Genomic DNA, 21,760 nt, shown 5'->3' on the forward strand with positions numbered 1-21,760 from the left:
GTTCGAGACCAGCCTGGCCAACATGGTGAAACCCTGTCTCTACTAAAAATATAAAAATTAGCCGAGTGCGGTGGTGGGCACCTGTAATCCCAACTACTTGGGAGGCTGAGGCAGGAGAATCGCTTGAACCCAGGAGGTGGATCTTGCAGTGAGCCAAGATCGCGCCACTGCACTCCAGCCTGGGTGACAGAGAGAGAGAGAGACTCTGTTTCAAAAAAAAAAAAAAAGGTGTGAATCTAATTAGTTGTTTAAAAAACTAGGTGGTGCAAAGCCTCGATTTTCTGATCGTGCTAATACAAGGTAAAAGTCATGAGCTGGTGCATATCAATTCTAGAAAGTGAAATTTAATTAAAAGGATAAAATTTTAATCTCAATTATTTACTTTATTTTTTCAAATTTATTTGCTTCTGTTTTTTTTTTTAATTATTATTTTTAAGATGAGGTCTCACTCTCTATCACCCAGCTGGAGTGCAGAGGCATTATCTCAGCTTACTGCAGCCTCGACCTCCTGGGCTCAAGCCATTCTTCCACCCTAGCCTCCCAGGTAGCTGGGACTACAGGTGCACACCACCATAGCTGGTTAATTTTTGTATTTTTAATAGAGCTGAGGTTTCACCATGTTGCCTAGGCTAGTCTCAAACTTCTGAGCTCAAGCCATCTTCCTGCCTCAGCCTCCCAAAATGCTGGGATGACAAGCATGGGCCACTGTACTCAGCCCAATTAGTTACTTTAAAACTTGCTCTTTTCCTCTTATTTTTCAACTAATGAACAGGGCAAATCTCTGTCTCCACTACAAAGTCAATCCAGCAGCGTGCCTGAGAAACTCCTCTTCTATTGTCTGCGAGGGCTTGCATATGAGCTTTCAATTCATCTGAAATAGCAATTCCCCTACTGTGAGTGTTTTCATAAAGACTTTCAGAGCAGAAATACAGAGTGCTTTACTATGTTAGTGTTTCCACCTAGTATCTGCCACAAAGACAAGTTATAAAAATCAGCTTCAGAATGTTTAGGAAGTAACAGAGAGCCTCCAGTTGAGTGTCTACATTAACAAATAACGCACCTCCTACATACATGCATGGCCAGTTACACGCAAACATTGAATAGATTTTGTTAAAATATCAATGACTGACACTTAGGCTAAGACGATGAATGGCCAACCAGTGAAATAGTGTGTGTGTATATGTGCCTGTGTGTGTGTGTGTGTGTGTGTGTGTGTGTGTGTGTGTGTGTGTGTTAAGAGAGAAAACTCTTTTCCTCCAAGGTCATTAAGGTCTTTTTTCAAGGTCACGAAGTTCTAGTAGAACTTATAACACACTTCAGAGGCAATCATTATTACTAAAATTTTAAACAGAAAGAAACTACAAGCAATGGGAAGAAGAAGAAGAAGTGAGTAGGGCAGGTTATATGCTTTCAGAAAATACAGATAAAGGGAAGACAAATCCCAGTTTTCTTGAAGCTCGTTTTTATTTTTTTTATTTTTTTGAGATAGGGTCTTTCCCTGTTGCCCAGGCTGGATTGAGATGGCGTCTCTCCCTGTTGCCCAGGCTGGAGAGCAGTGGCACAATCTTGGCTCACTGCAACATCTGCCTCCCAGGCTCAGGTGATCCTCCGACCTCAGCCTCTCAAGTAGCTGGGATTACAGGCATGCACCACCACACCTGGCTAATTTTTGTATTTTTCTGTAGAAGCAGAGTCTTCCTGTGTTGCCCAAGCTGTTGAACTCCTTTTATGCTTTCTCTTGTTTTGATTATATAATCTCTTTCTAGACAGTTCAAATAAAGTTTGAAAGTAGGTTTTTCTTTTCTTCTTTAGAAGCCAATTTCCTTTGAAACATGGAGACAAAACGCTATGTCGTTTATTTATTAAGATCTGTTGTTTTCCCTCATCTTTTGTAGTAGCTAACCACAGTATCACCTCTCCCGTATTTACTATACTCTTTGCCTGTAGCCAGCAAAGTAACATCCACAGAGGCAGTGAGAGAATGCTTCTTATGTGAGTCTTAGAATTATTTATTCTGGATAGAATTTGTTTTTAATGTTTATGGAAGTGTCCAAAGTAGAATCTATTCCCCAGGTAGGCATTAGGTACAGCAGAAAAGACACTTCCACTCAGGCAGGTGCTGAAAGATAATCTCCGTGACAAAGTGATTCTCCATGAGAATTGAGTCTTTAGTTTCTCTGCTGTCAGGGGAGTTGTTGATGGCCATTTACACTTTTTGTATAATGAGGACACCTGTTTGCTAATAATTGAACTGAGGATATCACAACACAGGGCGTTTAAAAATAACATGGGAATACAATTGCAGATTACATACACACATGAATAGATGTTTGCTGTTGGTAGCTTAATGGGCCATGGCTACGTATTTCCTAAGTAGCTAAATCGAGTTACAGATTTTGTAGTATTTATTGCATTTCATTTTAATAAGCAGTTATTATAGTTGAATAATTACTTCATCACAGGTGTAACAGATACCACAGGGGTGACATCAGTGAAAGTGCTTTATCACTGCTTTTCCTGTGCCATGGGGTAATAATCAAAGACAGAGCTTAAAAGAAATAAAAAGTTCCCTTAGTGAAGCAGATTGAGATTTCATTTTCAGTGCGACCCAGTATGCTTGATTGCTACATGAATAAACTGGTGTAGGCTAGAAACCATACCTCTATGGAAGTGAATTGTGTTGAATGAGGGACTAAAGGGAAGAAGATCACCTGAATCTGGGGACCCTGTTGCTCCTGGAGTAGTGCAGCATTGGGATATGTTTTTCCTCTAGCTGGTTGGCATATACCATATAGAGAGGTTGGCATATACCGTATAGAGAGGTTGGCATACTGTATAGAGAGGTTGGCCTACCTTATAGAGAGGTTGGCATATACCATATAGAGAGGTTGGCATATACCATATAGAGAGGTTGGGATACCGTATAGAGAGGTTGGCATACCGTATAGAGAGGTTGGCATATACTGTATAGAGAGGTTGGCATACCGTATAGAGAGGTTGGCATACCATATAGAGAAGGCAAATGCTTTGTTCCACCTGAATTTGTGACTGTGGTGCAGAGGATTTCATGGCTAAAAATAGAAAACTTCTCACGTTACTATAGGTCTAAATGGAGGTAATATTTTAAAGACTAAAATCGATGTTGATAATTACAGTAGTTTATGTTATATCAAAACATCAAAAATAAAAGTAACCGAATAATCAAAGGACCTAACACCCAAATTACCAACTGCCTTTGATCTATATATACTATATATAATATATGATCTATATATATTATATATAATATATATTATTTTTTTCTTAGAAGCAATTGGCAGAATCATGGAATATTACAAACATTAAAACTTATAGAGGGCTTTAAGAATCACTTTATTTATCCTCCTATTTTTGTAATTAAAAAATAAGGCCAGAGTGTTGTATTGACTTGGCCAGTTTCCATAGTTAATACTGAGGGATAACACTTCCTTAAAGTATAATAGTGATATTTGCACACAACAATCTTTCTACTTCTCTACTTTAAAACTTCCTATTTAACTTCAGTTCACTCTGAAAAAAATGAATTTTGGCTTGCTCTCAATTTTACCTCTTTATTTACCAAAATAGAGGGTATCTGTATCACTATGTCAGGTAAAAATCTAAATTTTTGGAATTCATCTACCATTAGTGTATATATTCTAACCTTCATTACTTGCAGGTAAAAATGTGATCATGCTAACAGCGACACCCAAATCTACTTATCTCCAAATCTCCAGGCGGCAACTCAGGCCAGATCCTTTCCCAGGTAATCTCAGGAATCCCCGAAGTGGCAATGACTTCCTCAGGAATACGGCTTTTAATTTTCTTTCTTTCCCTCAAATTCTTCTTGGAGGTCTATTGCCCCTAAGCCCTAAGCTGCTGCTTTAAGCTGCTGCTGTCGTATTAGATGGTGAAGTAGAGAGGCTACCTGTGGCTTCTCCCTGTGGTTACTTGGGTCCCAGCACAGTGCTTCTTAAGCTCAGAGTCTCAAAGCATTTTCATGAGCTTTTACTGAATCCTTGAGATGCAGTATTCAGATACCATCTAATACCTCCCATTTTTCTACTCTTGCCTTTTACTCCTTCCTAGTCCCCAAAAGCCTCTTCGTTTTTCAAAAAATAATAAAAGGCAGTCACAGAGGATAGTCGCAGAGGAGGGCTGTTGTTCATTTGCCACCTTGGAAAAAGCATTCATGTTCCATCTTTGCCCAGCCAAGATAACCTTTTAGGAATATTTTGACATGCATTTTACTTTCTGGGAACTGGCACCAAAGATTGGTCATCATTACTCTAATTAATCGCTTCTATTTGTAAGGGTGATGAGGTTTTGTACGGATTGGCCAAAATAGTCACCATTAAGAAATGCTTTCTCTGTTCAGCTAAAACCCTATGTCTGAAGCCACACAGGAACGGATAGCTTTAGTCTGTGGTTCTAATGCCTCATTTTCTATAAATTCCAAATGGACCTGCCTTTTTCTGGGCCAGTGACACGGAAAATGATAGTTGGCAGTCGATGGTCATTAAAAAACCTTCTTGGAATGCTGTTACAGCAGTGGGCAGCCGTTACTGTCATGTTGAGAGTGATAAAGGTAGAATCATGGGATTTCAAAAATCAAAGGGAACTTAGAAATAATTTTGTTCAACTCCCTTGTCTTATAGATAAAAGTAGTCATGTAACTATCTGTCATTTTATACCCAATTTAAAAGCTTGTGACATCCTTCTACAAAATGAAAACATACAATCAAACCAGGCACTCTTGCTTGCCAAGGTCCTACATTTGGGCCTCACATGCTCATTCCATTTAACCATTGCACTGGCGAATGCAGCAGTAATTCCCAGCCATGACGGACAAAAATCCCAGGTGCATTTTTGACTCTAGTCATGAAGTCATTGACACAACCTCAAAAATAATTAACATTTTCATAGACAATTCCACAAAATACTTTCACCACAGGGAATATTTTTCAGCAAAAGATGATGGTTAGGTAGATATAGCAGCTTCCCAAATAGTGGGATTCTTAGAGCACGGATAAAATCAGTTGAAAGCTGAAAAAATATCTTGAATGGGCAAGGAAGAAGGAATCCAATGTAGGAAAGCTTACTTTATATTTCCATGGATAAATGCAATAACACTTACGTTTCTGAAAATTCTATCAGCATGCCAACTTCATTTCCAGTCCAACGGATTGCCTTATTGCCCTGAATCATGTTAAGCCAGTCTTGGAACTTCGTGGCTCCCAGTGGATCTCCAGCTCCTTACTGTTCCTGAGAGCCATCTGTTGTGTGTAGGTTTCCACTGGACCCGGCATAAATATTTACATGTGAGTTCATCTTGAGGTGGGATTATGCCTAATAAACCCCTGGAATTCTGTACCACCCCACGCATGGTTACTAATTTTATCTTTCTCTGGTATGTTTAGCTGAAGCTGGCACATTGTTCTTTTTTTTTTCTAATCAATTAAAATTTTAAAAATGGTGATCAAAGCACTGGTGGTCAGTGAGAGCCTAGACAGTAAGAGCTCTTTCCTCAGGGGTTGAAAAATCTCTATCTAAACAAATAAAGTGGTCATATGGTTTGAAAATATTTATAGAGGGGCCGGCCATGGTGGCTCACGCCTGTAATCCCAGAACTTCGGGAGGCCAAGGCTGGCAGATTGCTTGAGGCCAGGAGTTTGAGACCAGCCTGGCCAAAATGGTGAACCCCCATCTTTACTAAAAATACAAAAATTAGCCAAGTGTGGTGGCGCATGCTTGTAGTCTCAGCTACTCTGGAGGCTGAGGCACTAGTATAGCTTGAACTCGGGAGATGGCGGTTGCAGTGAGCCGCGGTCACCCCCGCACTCCAGCCTGGGCGACAGAGCAAGACTCTGTCTCAAAAAAATGTATATATCTATATATACTGCCGGGCATGGTGACTCATGTCTGTAATGCCAGCACTTTGGGAGGCCAAGGTGGGTGGTTCACTTGAGGTCAGGAGCTCGAGACCAGCCTGACCAATATGGCGAAACCCCATCTCCACTAAAAAATACAAAATTAGCTGGGCGTGGTGGTGCAAGCCTGTAATCCCAGCAACTCTGGAGGCTGAGGCAGGAGAATTGCTTGAACTCGGGAGGTGGTGAACTGAGTGAACTGAGATTACGCCACTGCACTCCAGCCTGGGCAACAAGAGCAAAACTCTGTCTCAAAAAAAAAAAAAGAAATTATGTAATACTTTTTCCATGAGTCAAATTCAAATGATGGCGATCCACTGGCGTGATTGTAATGACACAGTTTAATCAAAGGCCGTCAAGGTACGTACAATTGACTAGAACCAACTTGATCATAGTTAACTGAAGAATGTTGTGGTGGCTGTGTTCTTTGTCTTCCGAAGTTGACTTATGAAATCAAAACAGTATTCTCCTGGACATATTTAATAATGCATTCAAGCAGGCATTTTGCCAAATCCCTTTGAGACCATATTAAATGGAAAGATATTTTAAGCATTCATTTTGATGAATGGAGCATAGGTAAAGACCTTGTTCAATCCACAGGGTCTAGTATACAATGAAAGCATTGACCAACAGATAATTTATTACAGTGCGGTGGAATTAATTTTTGGTACATTGAATATTTATTTTCCTCAGTGTGTTTTAAATTTCAGTTTTAGAAAATTTTTGTGTGATTATGAAATTAATACATGTTCAGTGTAGAAAATTAGGAGAATATAGAAGAAAAGATAAGGGAAAAATCAAAAGAAAATCCAATTCTCAAAAATACCCACTATTTTTATTTTGGTATAAATATGCATACAATTAATATTTTATCACTCTTGTCAATCATTTCAAAGATGTTATTCAAAGATATTTCTACAATGTTATTTGCAGTTGAATAATCTAAATGACCATCAACAGGACTTTGATGTACTGGCATGAAAAGAGGTTGACAAGAACCTGTCAAGGGAAAAAAGCAAGAACTAGAAAACTTTTATAATAAAGCCTCATTTTTTTGTATCAAAAATTTTAGAAGTCATGTAGAAAAGTGTTTCTATATTAACAGTGTTTACCTCTGAGGAAGCTGATAAACAGAGCAGGTTTTTTTTTATAACCAGTATTCATTTTGTAATAAATAAATAAACAACTCTAGCTTATGCTTGCTTTGTTAGAACACAGCAATCCATGGCATATGCAGATTGGGTCCTGGTCCTGTGACTATTAAGAATTATTTACAGATTTAATTTTCCCATTTGAAGATAATTGTGAATCAATGCAAAGATTCCAAGAGAAAAAAAGGTGCAGCTAAATTATTAACAGGTAAAACACTGTATCTGAGTGGAAAGGTAAAGGAGTGTAGATTACTTGTTGAAAGTAGGATATTTGGGAACAATCTAACAACAAATATGTATTGACTGGCTACTCTGTATAATGCCCCACTTGGATGGTACTGAACAGAAATCCTAGATCCACAGAAAATTGTAAAAGGTGCCTATAATTAGGTGTCAGGATTTGCCGCTGATCTGGAAGGCCGACCTCTGAATACATACAGAGAAGAGTAACTGGTCTATATGTGAGCTGAGGTGATATTTAAAACATGGAACGCCCTGGACAGCACAGGTGTGGACCAATCAGAAGGGATACTGGCTGTGGTCCTGGGGTAGAGTCCTGGAGGGTCTATTCATACCAGGCTTAAATTAACTTTTCGGTTGCTACACAGGGGTGAGCAGGGGGTCACAGGGCAAAGGCCTGGGTTGGGGGCAGCTCAGTGAGCTATACTCTAAATCCTGATAAGAATTCTAGGAGGTAGGTGCAACTCTTCAGGATGAGTGTTTGTAGTACTTGTTGCTACTATTATTTGCCTCTTCTAGAACACGGGTCCGCAACCCCCAGGCCATGAACCAGTGTGGGAACCAGGCAGCATGCAGGAAGTGATTGGCAGATGAGCAAGCAAAGCTTCATCTGTATAACAGCTGCTCCCCATCCTTCGCACTGCGCCTGGGCTCTGCCTCTGGTCAGAGCAGAAGCAGCATCAGATTCTCAGAGGAGCACAAAACCTATTGTGAACTGCAGATGTGAGGGATCTAAGTTGCATGCTCCTTATGAGAATCTAATGCCTGATGATCTGTCACTGTCTCCCCACAACACCCGTCCATGGAAACATTGTCTTCCATGAAACTGATTCCTGGTGCCAAAAAGGTTGTGGATTGCTGTTCTAGAAAATATCATGAGAGTTTACTTACGAAACGTGTTAAATTAAAAGACTATATATTAAATGAAAACATTTGTAGATTTCAGTCATTTAAATTGCTGTTTTCTCCTTAGGCTGTTTGCCCCTCTCTATCTCCCGGTCATGTCAGTACCTTTGTACCTGTTCTTTCACATCAAATGGAATGGCTGAGTTAGATGTCTTTCATTTCAGCCCTCTTGACACCATAACCATGTCCTTTTTTCTGAAGCTACTATTATTTCCAGAAGTTAGTATTTCCTTAGATGATAAAATAGCAATAGTAACTTCAACAATATGGTAAATTTAGAGTTGTCCTCTGGGGCTAGAGATGAATTTTGTTATTGTAACTTTTAACTTTAAGAATACCTGAACATTTTTAGTTAATTTAAACCACCAAAAATTCAATTAACAATGGATATGTTTATAAGTAAGCTATAGACCATGGTGGGCCCTTCCTAGTAACATCTTACTTTACATGTAACAATTCTCTTGAGATGCAGTATTTCATCTACTTATTGTGACAATCTTTCAAAGAAGGCAATATCGTTCAAATTTTGTAAACAAGGAAACAGAGGGTTAGAGAAATCAAACTGCTTGTCTTAAAGTACACAGCTATAAGCAGCATCATCAGAGCCAAAATTCTGTGATTTTTTTTTTTTTTGGCTATAAATCTAATGTTTTTTCTACTACTTTCCACTGCCCTGTTTTTGTTTTCTTATGTTTTAGTGTTGACTACAAATAACAGTTATAGCTAGTTTGGTTTTAAGGGACACAATGTTTGAAAGGCCTTTATCAATTTTTAAAATACTTTGTCTTTCAGAATGTAATAAAAAACTCCCAATTACATAAATGTTGATTCGCTAGGTTCTATAACATTGAATCATAGTCTCGAATGGCAAAAATGAATTAACACAGTTTAATTCCCCCATTTTACATCTCATTTTCATCGAGAAACTTGAAATGTGTAATGTGGTTCAAATTCCTTGATGCATTTAACAGCCCATTGGGTTTTGTGTGTCCAATAACTGCCACCACCCCTCAACCTACAGAAGCAGATACCTTGTGAATTATAAATTTGTGCATAATGGAAGCCAATTGCCACATGTTCATTTGGATTTTAATAATTCAGGGATAATCTGCTACAGGTAGAGTGGGACAGATCCCCCTTACGTGGCAAAATTGGAAAAAAGGTAGACAAACAATTAATAATGAAGGGTTGAAATTAGCATCTACCAATGTCATTAATGCTTTGTCATTCTTACCTGGATTTCCTTTAGGTAAAGGCAAGGATTTATCTATTTTCTTTCTACTAACAGTAAGACATAGTCTCTTTTGCAGTATCTTGTATATCTAAAGAATCTAAAATGTCAGTTAGAACATAAAATGCTTTGGACTGTAGATGTCCTTACTTGGTGTTTGTGCTGGGCTAAATAATACACCTCCAAGGATGTCCACGTTCTAATCCCAGGAACTTGTGAACCTTACCTTATGTGTCAAAAGGGACCTTGCTGATATCTCACTATGGGAAGATGACCTGATTGTCCTGGTGGGCTCTAAGCATCATCGCGAGACCCTTGTGAGAGGGAGGCGGAGGCAGAAGTGACCTCAGAAGAGGGTGACGTGGTGGCAGAGAGACAGGCTATGCTGCCGGCTTTGAAGACGGAAAAGGAGACACCTGCCAAGGAGTGCAGCAGCTTCTACGGGTGGGAAAAGGCAGGAAAACAGTTCTCCAGAGCCTCGGAAGGAACCCGTCCTGCTGACACTTTGCCTTCAGCCTTGTGAGACTGATTTTGGATTTCTGACCTCCAGAACATTAAGACAGTAAATTAGCACTGTTTTAAGCAATGGAATTTGTGGCAATTTACTACAGCAGCAATAGGAAACTAACACAAGCAGTGGTAAAGCCCATTCTGGACTTAGCTCTCCTCTCCCCTGATAAGACCTCTATGCTGTGTGCCTCTTAGAGATTTCCCCATGGTGTCTTTGTTTCTGGACATTGCAACCCCATAATTCAGAGAGGTAATCATAGAAAGGCATGTGGATAAGAACCAGGCATTGGTTCTGGGTCTTGATGAAAATCTTTCTCTGTTAAAACAACATCGAGACACTACCATACACCTATCAGAATGATGAAAATCCAGAGCACTGACGCCACCAATTGCTGGCAAAGGTGTGAAGCAACAGGAACTGTCATCCGTTGCTGGTGGGAATGCAGAATGGCACAGCCACTTTGGAAGACAGTTTGGCAGCCTCTTCTGAAGCAAAACATGCTTTTACGATAGGAGCCTGAAATTGCTTTCCTTGGTATTCACCCAAATGAGCTGAAAATACATGTCCACACAAAAATCTGCAAGTACATGCTTATAGCAGCTTTACTGATAATTGCCCAAACTTGGAAGCAACAAAGATGTCCAGTAGGTGAATGCGTCAATAAATTGTGGTACATCCAGACAATGGAATATTTTTAAAGTGCTAAAAAAAAAATGAGCCATCAAACCATGAGAAGACACAGAAGAACCTTAAATGCATATTACTAAGTAAATAAAAGAATCCAATCTGAAAAGGGTACATACTGTACAACTGAACTCTATGACACTCTGGAAAAGACACAGCTTGGGGACAATGAAAAGATAATGGTTGCCAGGGTTTTTGGGGAGGGAGGGAGGAATAAGCAGAAAACAGGATTTTTAGGACGGTGGAACTATTTCGTAGGATGGTACAGTGGTGCACACGTTGTTATATATTTGTCAAAACCCGTAGAATGTGCAACACTGAGAGCAAACCCTAATGGAACGTGGACTCTGGGTGATGGTGATATGACATTGCAGGTGCATCAGTTGTAACAAATGTCCCACTCGAATAATGGATGTTGAGAGTGGGGTGGCTGTGTGTGCGGGGGTGGGTGGGGGCTTGTGGGAAATCTCTGTATGTTCTGATCAATTTTGCTGTAAGCTTAAAACTTCTCTTTAAAGAAGAGTGTATTTACCAGTAAACATTTACATATATATATATATGAGATATACATATATCTATATATATTTAACTTAGAGCCTCTGGCAGGGGACAGCAACCAAGGATCCATGTGTCTGGTTGGCTCTAGGGAAGCCTGACCTTCACAGTTAGACTTGGGGGTTCCCCTGGGAATACACAGTGGGCAGCCACCTTTCCAAAGGATGGGATGACCAGGCCGGATTTTGGTACCTCTTCTCTCCCCGTCACCCTGCTTCACAGGATGAGGGAATGGACAGATGAACAGATAAACCAAGAAGAGACACCACATTCTCTGGCAGAGGAGCTCTACAAAGTGCAGTAAATTCCTGGGATCATATGAGTGATGAAGCCCAGAAATTGCCCAGGGAAGGAAGTTAGCAAACTTAAGAGTAAGTCCTTTGGCCCAATTTTAACGGACAAGGTAAAAAGAATAGTTGGTGTAACATCTGAAGTTTGGAAACACATGCTTTGTTTACCCCCCGCCGCATCCTCAGGCCTTTCAAAATGAGAGGATGCCCACTGTGAGCCAGCCGCTCTCTTGGCAAGCCGGCTGGCCACAAAGAGGCTCAGTCATAATCGGGTGGAAACATACACTCTCCCCTTTTTATTGGCGGCTTGAGGCTTGGTGATTGGCCTATAAATCTAAACTGCAAGCGCAGAGCCTGTGTTTGGGGTCGTGATCCGTTTGCCACAGGCACACTGGTCCTGGCTCGATTTACCGGCCGTTCTGCCTCCGCCCTTTGAACTGTAACCCATTTGAAGGGCTCTGGGGGTGACTTTGCTGTGCCTCAATGATTTATAGAAATTTCAGGATTCAAGGTTTTCACCTTTGATGCACAATTCTCCTTTTCCTTGGAAAGGGGACCGGGAACAAACTAAACTGACACAGTATCCAAGCACCATCCATTTTTGAACCTTTCAAACTGTGCCCAGTCAGTTCGTAATGCTTTAGGATGCGTTCTTTCTTAACAGGCTCCTTGGCTGTTTGTTCAAATCAACCTCGGAGAGGCTTTCTCCTCAGTTCCGTGCATCTTCCTTCACTGAAACAAAGTGTTTACATCCTACTTGGTTGAATTTTTTTCCAGGACGACTCTCAGCCCGATGGCTATAGACTTCTCTTGGGCTCTGACATCGGCTTACCAGGTTTGACTAGAAATACACACGTTCCAACCATAGGCACAGAGAGGACACAGTTTATGATCAAGTTAGAGTTTTATTGCATATATAGGAAAGACAAATGCACAAAAAGGACTGGAAGCAGCAGCTCCTGCCATGAGTGCTGAATTTGATGTATGATTAAGGCAGCTCACGGGCATGGGGTGCTGTGGGATCCTGAGAAGAAGGGCTCTGAAGCGCAAGGGGGACACTTCTATGTAATCTGCACTCACGCTGTTTTTTCACTCAGTGCCCTGCTTCTTGGCACTGGCTGAATCTCCATCTCCTATCACACATCTCCTGCCCCTTGGTGGAGAGAGGGGGTGAGCAGGTGAGAGAAGGCACAGGAGAAGGGGAATGAAGGTGGAAGGACATCTCAGGAAAGTCCCTTTTATAATATAAAGTGCAGGCAATTCAGGTTGTACCCACACTAGAGATGCCAGGGATACCCTCTCTGTGGTTCTTTGGGTCCTGGGGGTTTGGAATTATTGCCAGTGATTATCAGTCAATATGTGCCATGAACTTTGTCATCATTTATAGACTGAATAAATGATATATGTCATTTATTTGTGCTACTGCTTTTAAAATATAACAAAATAGAAATTTATTTTTAAATGCTAATAAGTTCATATGAATGTATTATTTTTTTGTTTTTCATCTGTCCTTAATATACCATAATAAAAGTAATAATAGTACCATGATGTGAACATCTGGAAGAAAAGAAGATTTTTTGTTTCTCAAATTTTGTAAAAATAGGAGTAGATAAATTCTGACATCTTAGAAGGACCAAATGTTTTGTTGGATAAGTGGTACTATAACTTCCCCAAATACAATAGATATTTTATCCACACAATATACACTTTCATTGGATGGATTTGGTTTATTCACAAACATGTGCAACTAGGAATTAGCCTATTTTATTTCTTTGAAAGTTAGTTGTTAATCATCCATAGGTATGTTTTTAAAAATTAAAACATAAACATGCCTTTCCTTTTAGAAAAACAGTATATATATAGTATACAAGTAAATACAGTATACAAGTAAATTATCTACATATACATAAATGTATATGTATATGCAAAAGAGAGAGATAAATTTCACAATTCTACCACTCAAGATAATTGCTATCAATATCTAGGTGTATATCCTTCTAGAACTTTTAAAATAGACACGTTTATATACATTATTTACAAAACACAATATCTCATTTTAGGCTATGTTTAAAACCTGTTGTCTTTTCCATTTACCAATTTAGGATTATTGTCTTTCCATGAGAAGACGTGTTGTTGAAGCTTGGAATTCCCTACTAACTCATTTTCAAAGGAATCTGTGATTGAGGTAAATCCAGTTTTCTAGAGAGAAAGAGGAAATGTCTTTTGAAGCCATGCCTGGGAAGTATGATCAGCGAATGTTACTGCACAGATTTTTTTCCATCACAGCTTCCTCCCATCTAAATAATTATGATTTCTTCCCTTATGCCACTTGTTATTCCACGCTTTTTATTCATTGTCTGTGATTAAAGCCTCTTTAATTAGGAGCTAGAGAATTCACTCTCTAATTGAGGACTCATTTAAAATTCATGGGCCTGGACTTAGGATTCTGGTCTTTCACTGCTTCGGTCCATGTACTAGGGTGCCTATAGCAACACACAGCTTCCTATTTCTAAGGTTCTTTCAATTCTATTTAAAAAGACCCTAAGGAGTACAGACATCAAATAGAACTCTAGTATTTGGAAGAATTTAGTTTAAATGAGATAGAACCATGCAAACTAAATTTTTGTCAATAAAAACATAAGCTTGCGCCTAGGGGTTTGAGCACTGGGGCACCAGTGAAGTGGGCCATCCCCCTGTCACATGTCCTGCGAGGAGGATAAGGGAATTCTCTGGTTTTAACTTAATCTGTAAAAGACCTTGCTAAGAGGATGAAAAAGAAGCCACAGCAATGGATAAAACATTTGTAAACTACATATCCAACAAAGGAATATTATGACTGTTTCAAGATTTGCAGAACTGAATAGGAACAGCTCCGGTCTACAGCTCCCAGCGTGAGCGACACAGAAGACAGGTGAGTTCTGCATTTCCATCTGACGTACCGGGTTCATCTCACTAGGGAGTGCCAGACAGTGGGCGCAGGTCAGTGGGTGCGCGCACCGTGTGCGAGCCGAAGCAGGGCGAGGCATTGCTTCACTCGGGAAGCGCAAGGGGTCAGGGAGTTCCCTTTCCTAGTTAAAGAAAGGGGTGACAGACGGCACCTGGAAAATCGGGTCACTCCCACCCGAATACTGCGCTTTTCCGACGGGCTTAAAAAATGTCGCACCAGGAGATTATATCCCGCACCTGGCTCGGAGGGTCCTACGCCCATGGAGTCTCACTGATTGCTAGCACAGCAGTCTGAGATCAAACTGCAAGGTGGCAGCGAGGCTGGGGGAGGGGTGCCCGCCATTGCCCAGGCTTGCTTAGGTAAACAAAGCAGCCGGGAAGCTCGAACTGGGTGGAGCCCACCACAGCTCAAGGAGGCCTGCCTGCCTCTGTAGGCTCCACCTTTGCAGGCAGGCCACAGACAAACAAAAAGACAGCAGTAACCTCTGCAGACTTAAATGTCCCTGTCTGACAGCTTTGAGGAGAGCAGTGGTTCTCCCAGCATGCAGCTGGAGATCTGAGAACGGGCAGACTGCCTCCTCAAGTGGGTCCCTGAGCCCTGACCCCTGAGCAGCCTAACTGGGAGGCACCCCCCAGTAGGGGCAGACTGACACTTCACACGGCTGGGTACTCCTCTGAGACAAAACTTCCAGAGGAACGATCAGACAGCAGCATTCACAGTTCACGAAAAACCGCTGTTCTGCAAACACCGCTGCTGATACCCAGGCAAACGGTCTGGAGTGGACCTCTAGCAAACTCCAAAAGTCCTCCAGCTGAGGGTCCTGTCTGTTAGAAGGAAAACTAACAAACAGAAAGGACATCTACACCAAAAACCCATCTGTACATCACCATCATCAAAGACCAAAAGTAGAGAAAACCACAAAGATGGCGAAAAAACAGAGCAGAAAAACTGGAAACTCTAAAAAACAGAGCACCTCTCCTCCTCCAAAGGAACGCAGTTCCTCACCAGCAATGGAACAAAGCTGGACGGAGAATGACTTTGACGAGTTGAGAGAAGAAGGCTTCAGACGATCAAACTACGAGCTACAGGAGGAAATTCAAACCAAAGGCAAAGAAGTTAAAAACTTTGAAAAAAATTTAGACGAATGTATAACTAGAATAACCAATACAGAGAAGTGCTTAAAGGAGCTGATGGAGCTGAAAGCCAAGGCTCGAGAACTACGTGAAGAATGCAGGAGCCTCAGGAGCCGATGCAATCAACTGGAAGAAAGGGTATCAGCGATGGAAGATGAAATGAATGAAATGAAGCGAGAAGGGAAGTTTAGAGAAAAAAGAAAAAGAAATGAACAAAGCCTCCAAGAAATATGGGACTATGTGAAAAGACCAAATCTACGTCTGATTGGTGTACCTGAAAGTGACAGGGAGAATGGAACCAAGTTGGAAAACACTCTGCAGGATATTATCCAGGAGAACTTCCCCAATCTAGCAAGGCAGGCCAACATTCAGATTCAGGAAATACAGAGAACACCACAAAGATACTCCTCGAGAAGAGCATCTCCAAGACACATAATTGTCAGATTCACCAAAGTTGAAATGAAGGAAAAAATGTTAAGGGCAGCCAGAGAGAAAGGTCGGGTTACCCACAAAGGGAAGCCCATCAGACTAACAGTGGATCTCTTGGCAGAAACTCTACAAGCCAGAAGAGAGTGGGGGCCAATATTCAACATTCTTAAAGAAAAGAATTTTCAACCCAGAATTTCATATCCAGCCAAACTAAGCTTCATAAGTGAAGGAGAAATAAAATACTTTACAGACAAGCAAATGCTGAGATATTTTGTCACCATCAGGCCTGCCCTAAAAGAGCTCCTGAAGAAAGCACTAAACATGGAAAGGAACAACCGGTACCAGCCGCTGCAAAATCATGCCAAAATGTAAAGACCATCGAGACTAGGAAGAAACTGCATCAACTAATGAGCAAAATCACCAGCTAACATCATAATGAGAGGATCAAATTCACACATAACAATATTAACTTTAAATGTAAGTGGACTAAATGCTCCCATTAAAAGACACAGACTGGCAAATTGGATAAAGAGTCAAGACCCAACAGTGTGCTGTATTCAGGAAACCCATCTCACATGCAGAGGCACACATAGGCTCAAAATAAAAGGATGGAGGAAGATCTACCAAGCAAATGGAAAACAAAAAAAGGCAAGGGTTGCAATCCTAGTCTATGATAAAACAGACTTTAAACCAACAAAGATCAAAAGAGACAAAGAAGGCCATTACATAATGGTAAAGGGATCAATTCAATAAGAAGAGCTAACTATCCTAAATATATATGCACCCAATGCAGGAGCACCAAGATTCATAAAGCAAGTCCTGAGTGACCTACAAAGAGACTTAGACTCCCACACATTAATAATGGGAGACTTTAACACCCCACTGTCAACATTAGACAGATCAACGAGACAGAAAGTTAACAAGGATACCCAGGAATTGAACTCAGCTCTGCACCAAGTGGACCTAATAGACATCTACAGAACTCTCCACCCCAAATCAACAGAATATACATTTTTTTCAGCACCACACCACACCTATTCCAAAATTGACCACATAGTTGGAAGTAAAGCTCTCCTCAGCAAATGTAAAAGAACAGAAATTATAACAAACTATCTCTCAGACCACAGTGCAATCAAACTAGAACTCAGGATTAAGAAACTCACTCAAAACCGCTCAACTACATGGAAACTGAACAACCTGCTCCTGAATGACTACCGGGTACATAACGAAATGAAGGCAGAAATAAAGATGTTCTTTGAAACCAATGAGAACAAAGACACAACATACCAGAATCTCTGGGACACATTCAAAGCAGTGTGTAGAGGGAAATTTATAGCACTAAATGCCCACAAGAGAAAGCAGGAAAGATCCAAAATTGACACCCTAACATCACAATTAAAAGAACTAGAGAAGCAAGAGCAAACACATTCAAAAGCTAGCAGAAGGCAAGAAATAACTAAAATCAGAGCAGAACTGAAGGAAGTAGAGACACAAAAAACCCTTCAAAAAATTAATAAATCCAGGAGCTGGTTTTTTGAAAGGATCAACAAAATTGATAGACCACTAGCAAGACTAATAAAGAAAAAAAGAGAGAAGAATCAAATAGACGCAATAAAAATTGATAAAGGGGATATCACCACCAATCCCACAGAAATACAAACTACCGTAAGAGATTACTACAAACACCTCTATGGAAATAAACTAGAAAATCTAGAAGAAATGGATAAATTCCTCGACACATACACTCTCCCAAGACTAAACCAGGAAGAAGTTGAATCTCTGAATAGACCAATAACAGGAGCTGAAATTGTGGCAATAATCAATAGCTTACCAACCAAAAAGAGTCCAAGACCAGATGGATTCACAGCCGAATTCTACCAGAGGTACAAGGAGGAACTGGTACCATTCCTTCTGAAACTATTCCAATCAATAGAAAAAGAGGGAATCCTCTCTAACTCATTTTTTGAGGCCAGCATCATCCTGATACCAAAACCGGGCAGAGACACAACCAAAAAAGAGAATTTTAGACCAATATCCTTGATGAACATTGATGCAAAAATCCTCAATAAAATACTGGCAAACCAAATCCAGCAGCACATCAAAAAGCTTATCCACCATGATCAAGTGGGCTTCATCCCTGGGATGCAAGGCTGGTTCAATATACGCAAATCAATAAATGTAATCCAGCATATAAACAGAACCAAAGACAAAAACCACATGATTATCTCAATAGATGCAGAAAAGGCCTGTGACAAAATTCAACAACCCTTCATGCTAAAAACTCTCAATAAATTAGGTATTGATGGGATGTATCTCAAAATAATAAGAGCTATCTATGACAAACCCACAGCCAATATCATACTGAATGGGCAAAAACTGGAAGCATTCCCTTTGAAAACTGGCAGAAGACAGGGATGCCCTCTCTCACCACTCCTATTCAACATAGTGTTGGAAGTTCTGGCCAGGGCAATTAGGCAGAAGAAGGAAATAAAGGGTATTCAATTAGGAAAAGAGGAAGTCAAATTGTCCCTTTTTGCAGACGACATGATTGTATATCTAGAAAACCCCACTGTCTCAGCCCAAAATCTCCTTAAGCTGATAAGCAACTTCAGCGAAGTCTCAGGACACAAAATCAATGTACAAAAATCACAAGCATTCTTATACACCAACAACAGACAAACAGAGAGCCAAATCATGAGTGAACTCCCATTCACAACTGCTTCAAAGAGAATAAAATACCTAGGAATCCACCTTACAAGGGACATGAAGGACCTCTTCAAGGAGAACTACAAACCACTGCTCAATGAAATAAAAGAGGATACAAACAAATGGAAGAACATTCCATGCTCATGGGTAGGAAGAATCAATATCGTGAAAATGGCCATACTGCCCAAGGTAATTTATAGATTCAATGCCATCCCCATCAAGCTACCAATGACTTTCTTCACAGAATTGGAAAAAACTACTTTAAAGTTCATATGGAACCAAAAAAGAGCCCGCATCACCAAGTCAATCCTAAGCCAAAAGAACAAAGCTGGAGGCATCACACTACCTGACTTCAAACTATACTACAAGGCTACAGTAACCAAAACAGCATGATACTGGTACCAAAACAGAGATATAGATTAATGGAACAGAACAGAGCCCTCAGAAATAACGCCATATATCTACAACTATCTGATCTTTGACAAACCTGAGAAAAACAAGCAATGGGGAAAGGATTCCCTATTTAATAAATGGTGCTGGGAAAACTGGCTAGCCATATGTAGAAAGCTGAAACTGGATCCTTTCCTTACACCTTATACAAAAATCAATTCAAGATGGATTAAAGACTTAAACGTTAGACCTAAAACCATAAAAACCCTAGAAGAAAACCTAGGCATTACCATTCAGGACATAGGCACAGGCAAGGACTTCATGTCTAAAAACCAAAAGCAATGGCAACAAAAGCCAAAATTGACAAATGGGATCTAATTAAACTAAAGAGCTTCTGCACAGCAAAAGAAACTAACATCAGAGTGAACAGGCAACCCACAAAATGGGAGAAAATTTTCACAACCTACTCATCTGACAAAGGGCTAATATCCAGAATCTACAATGAACTCAAACAAATTTACAGGAAAAAAAACAAACAACCCCATCAAAAAGTTGGCGAAGGATATGAACAGACACTTCTCAGAAGAAGACATTTATGCAGCCAAAAAACACATGAAAAAATGCTCACCATCACTGGCCATCAGAGAAATGCAAATCAAAACAACAATGAGATGTCATCTCACACCAGTTAGAATGGCAATCATTAAAAAGTCAGGAAACAACAGGTGCTAGAGAGGATGTGGAGAAATAGGAACACTTTTACACTGTTGGTGGGACTGTAAACTAGTTCAACCATTGTGGAAGTCAGTGTGGCGATTCCTCAGGGATCTAGAACTAGAAATACCATTTGACCCAGCCATCCCATTACTGGGTATATACCCAAAGGACTATAAATCATGCTGCTATAAAGACACATGCACACGTATGTTTATTGTGGCACTATTCACAATAGCAAAGTCTTGGAACCAAGCCAAATGTCCATCAATGATAGACTGGATTAAGAAAATGTGGCACATATACACCATGGAATCCTATGCAGCCATAAAAAATGATGAGTTCATGTCCTTTGTAGCGACATGGATGAAATTGGAAATCATCATTCTCAGTAAACTATTGCAAGAACAAAAAACTAAACACCGCATATTCTCACTCATAGGTGAAAATTGAACAATGAGAACACATGGACACAGGAAGGGGAACATCACACTCTGGGGACTGTTGTGGGGTGGGGGGAGGGGGGAGGGATAGCATTGGGAGATATACCTAATGCTAGATGACGAGTTAGTGGGTGCAGCGCACCAGCATGGCACATGTATACATATGTAACTAACCTGCACATTGTGCACATGTACCCTAAAACTTAAAGTATAATAATAATAATTTAAAAAAAAAGATTTGCAGAACTGTCTATTTAACCCATAGACTCATGAGCAATAATAAATTATTATTGCTTTAACCAGTGGAAAACAAAACAAAACAAAACATAAGCTTGCAAATTTTATATTCTGTAATATTTCCATGGGCTATATAACCGCAGGAAGGGCAAACTATATCTTTATAGAATAAATTGTAGACTGGAAGAGTAATGAAAAAAACTGAGAGGAGTGTAACAAAATAATTAAAGGCTTAGAAAACAATATCCATGGAGCAACTAACAGAATCGTATTCATCGCCTTTGGTGAAATGGCTGTTAGTGATTACAAACCGTGATTACAAAGGAAGACATGTTCTATATTGGGGAGTGACAAGCTGTTAACTGATGCAGAAAAATCACAAAACAAGACCTGAAAGCTTTAAAAGAAATACTTATCTAATATCCCTAAATGAGGGTTTCCTTTTTTTCTTTTGAGATGGAGTCTTGCTCTGTCACCCAGGCTGGAGTGCAGTGGCGCGATCACGGCTCACTGCAAGCTCCGCCTCCCAGGTTCATGCCATTCTCCTGCCTCAGCCCCCCAAGTGTCTGGGATTACAGGTGCACAGCACCACACCTGGCTAATTTTTTTGTATTTTTAGTAGAGACAGGGTTTCACCGTGTTAGCCAGGATGGTCTCGATCTCCTGACCTCGTGATCCACCCGCCTCGGCCTCCCAAAGTGCTGGGATTACAGGCGTGAGCCACCGCACCCGGCCTAAATGGGGATTTTCAAAAAGCCAAAGTCATTTATAAGAAAGGCAGTGAATTTGAATGAAAAATACATTGAACCAGTTGGAAGTCAGAAGGTCTGAGTTCTCTGTGGACACTGCCGCTGCCTCACTTGTGATCCTTCATGCATCCTGTTGCCTCCGCAGATGAGCGTTTACTCATCTTCATAGTGAAATAGCGGACTAAGAGATCACCACTACTCCATCAGCATGACGTGCATCGTCATGGTGAGATCCTTCCTACCCAGTATGGCAGGGCCTCTGCCAGTTGCTTTCTCCAGCATATTTCTTTCCATTCCTTCTTAGAAACAAATCCTGATACCTTCAGCTGGGCATTTTTCCTGGAATAAAAGACGACACTTCTGAGTTTTCTTGTGGCATAGTGTGGTCATGTAGCTATGGTCTGGTAAGTGAGATGGAAGCAGACAAGTTGCATAGGACTCTTCGGAAGGTGACTTAAAGGGAGCTTACTCAGCTTCAGGGGTGCCTTTTTGTCTT

At 40.5% G+C, this 21,760-nt stretch overlaps 1 long non-coding RNA gene across 8 annotated transcripts in view; it reads left to right on the forward strand.

Moving 5' to 3' along the window:
- Positions 1-21,760, forward strand: part of LOC102723906 (uncharacterized) — a 220,555-nt gene that overhangs the window by 195,488 nt on the left and 3,307 nt on the right. The window contains exon 1 of one of the 8 annotated variants that reach the window (XR_007058503.1): positions 21,332-21,668. The exons of the other annotated variants lie outside the window; for them this stretch is intronic. This is a non-coding gene — a long non-coding RNA (uncharacterized LOC102723906). Of the gene's footprint in view, positions 1-21,331; positions 21,669-21,760 lie in introns of those variants that run through there. 8 annotated transcript variants of the gene reach the window in all.

Source organism: Homo sapiens, chromosome 4 (genome assembly GCF_000001405.40).
Source record: "Homo sapiens chromosome 4, GRCh38.p14 Primary Assembly".
NCBI lineage: Eukaryota > Metazoa > Chordata > Mammalia > Primates > Hominidae > Homo > Homo sapiens.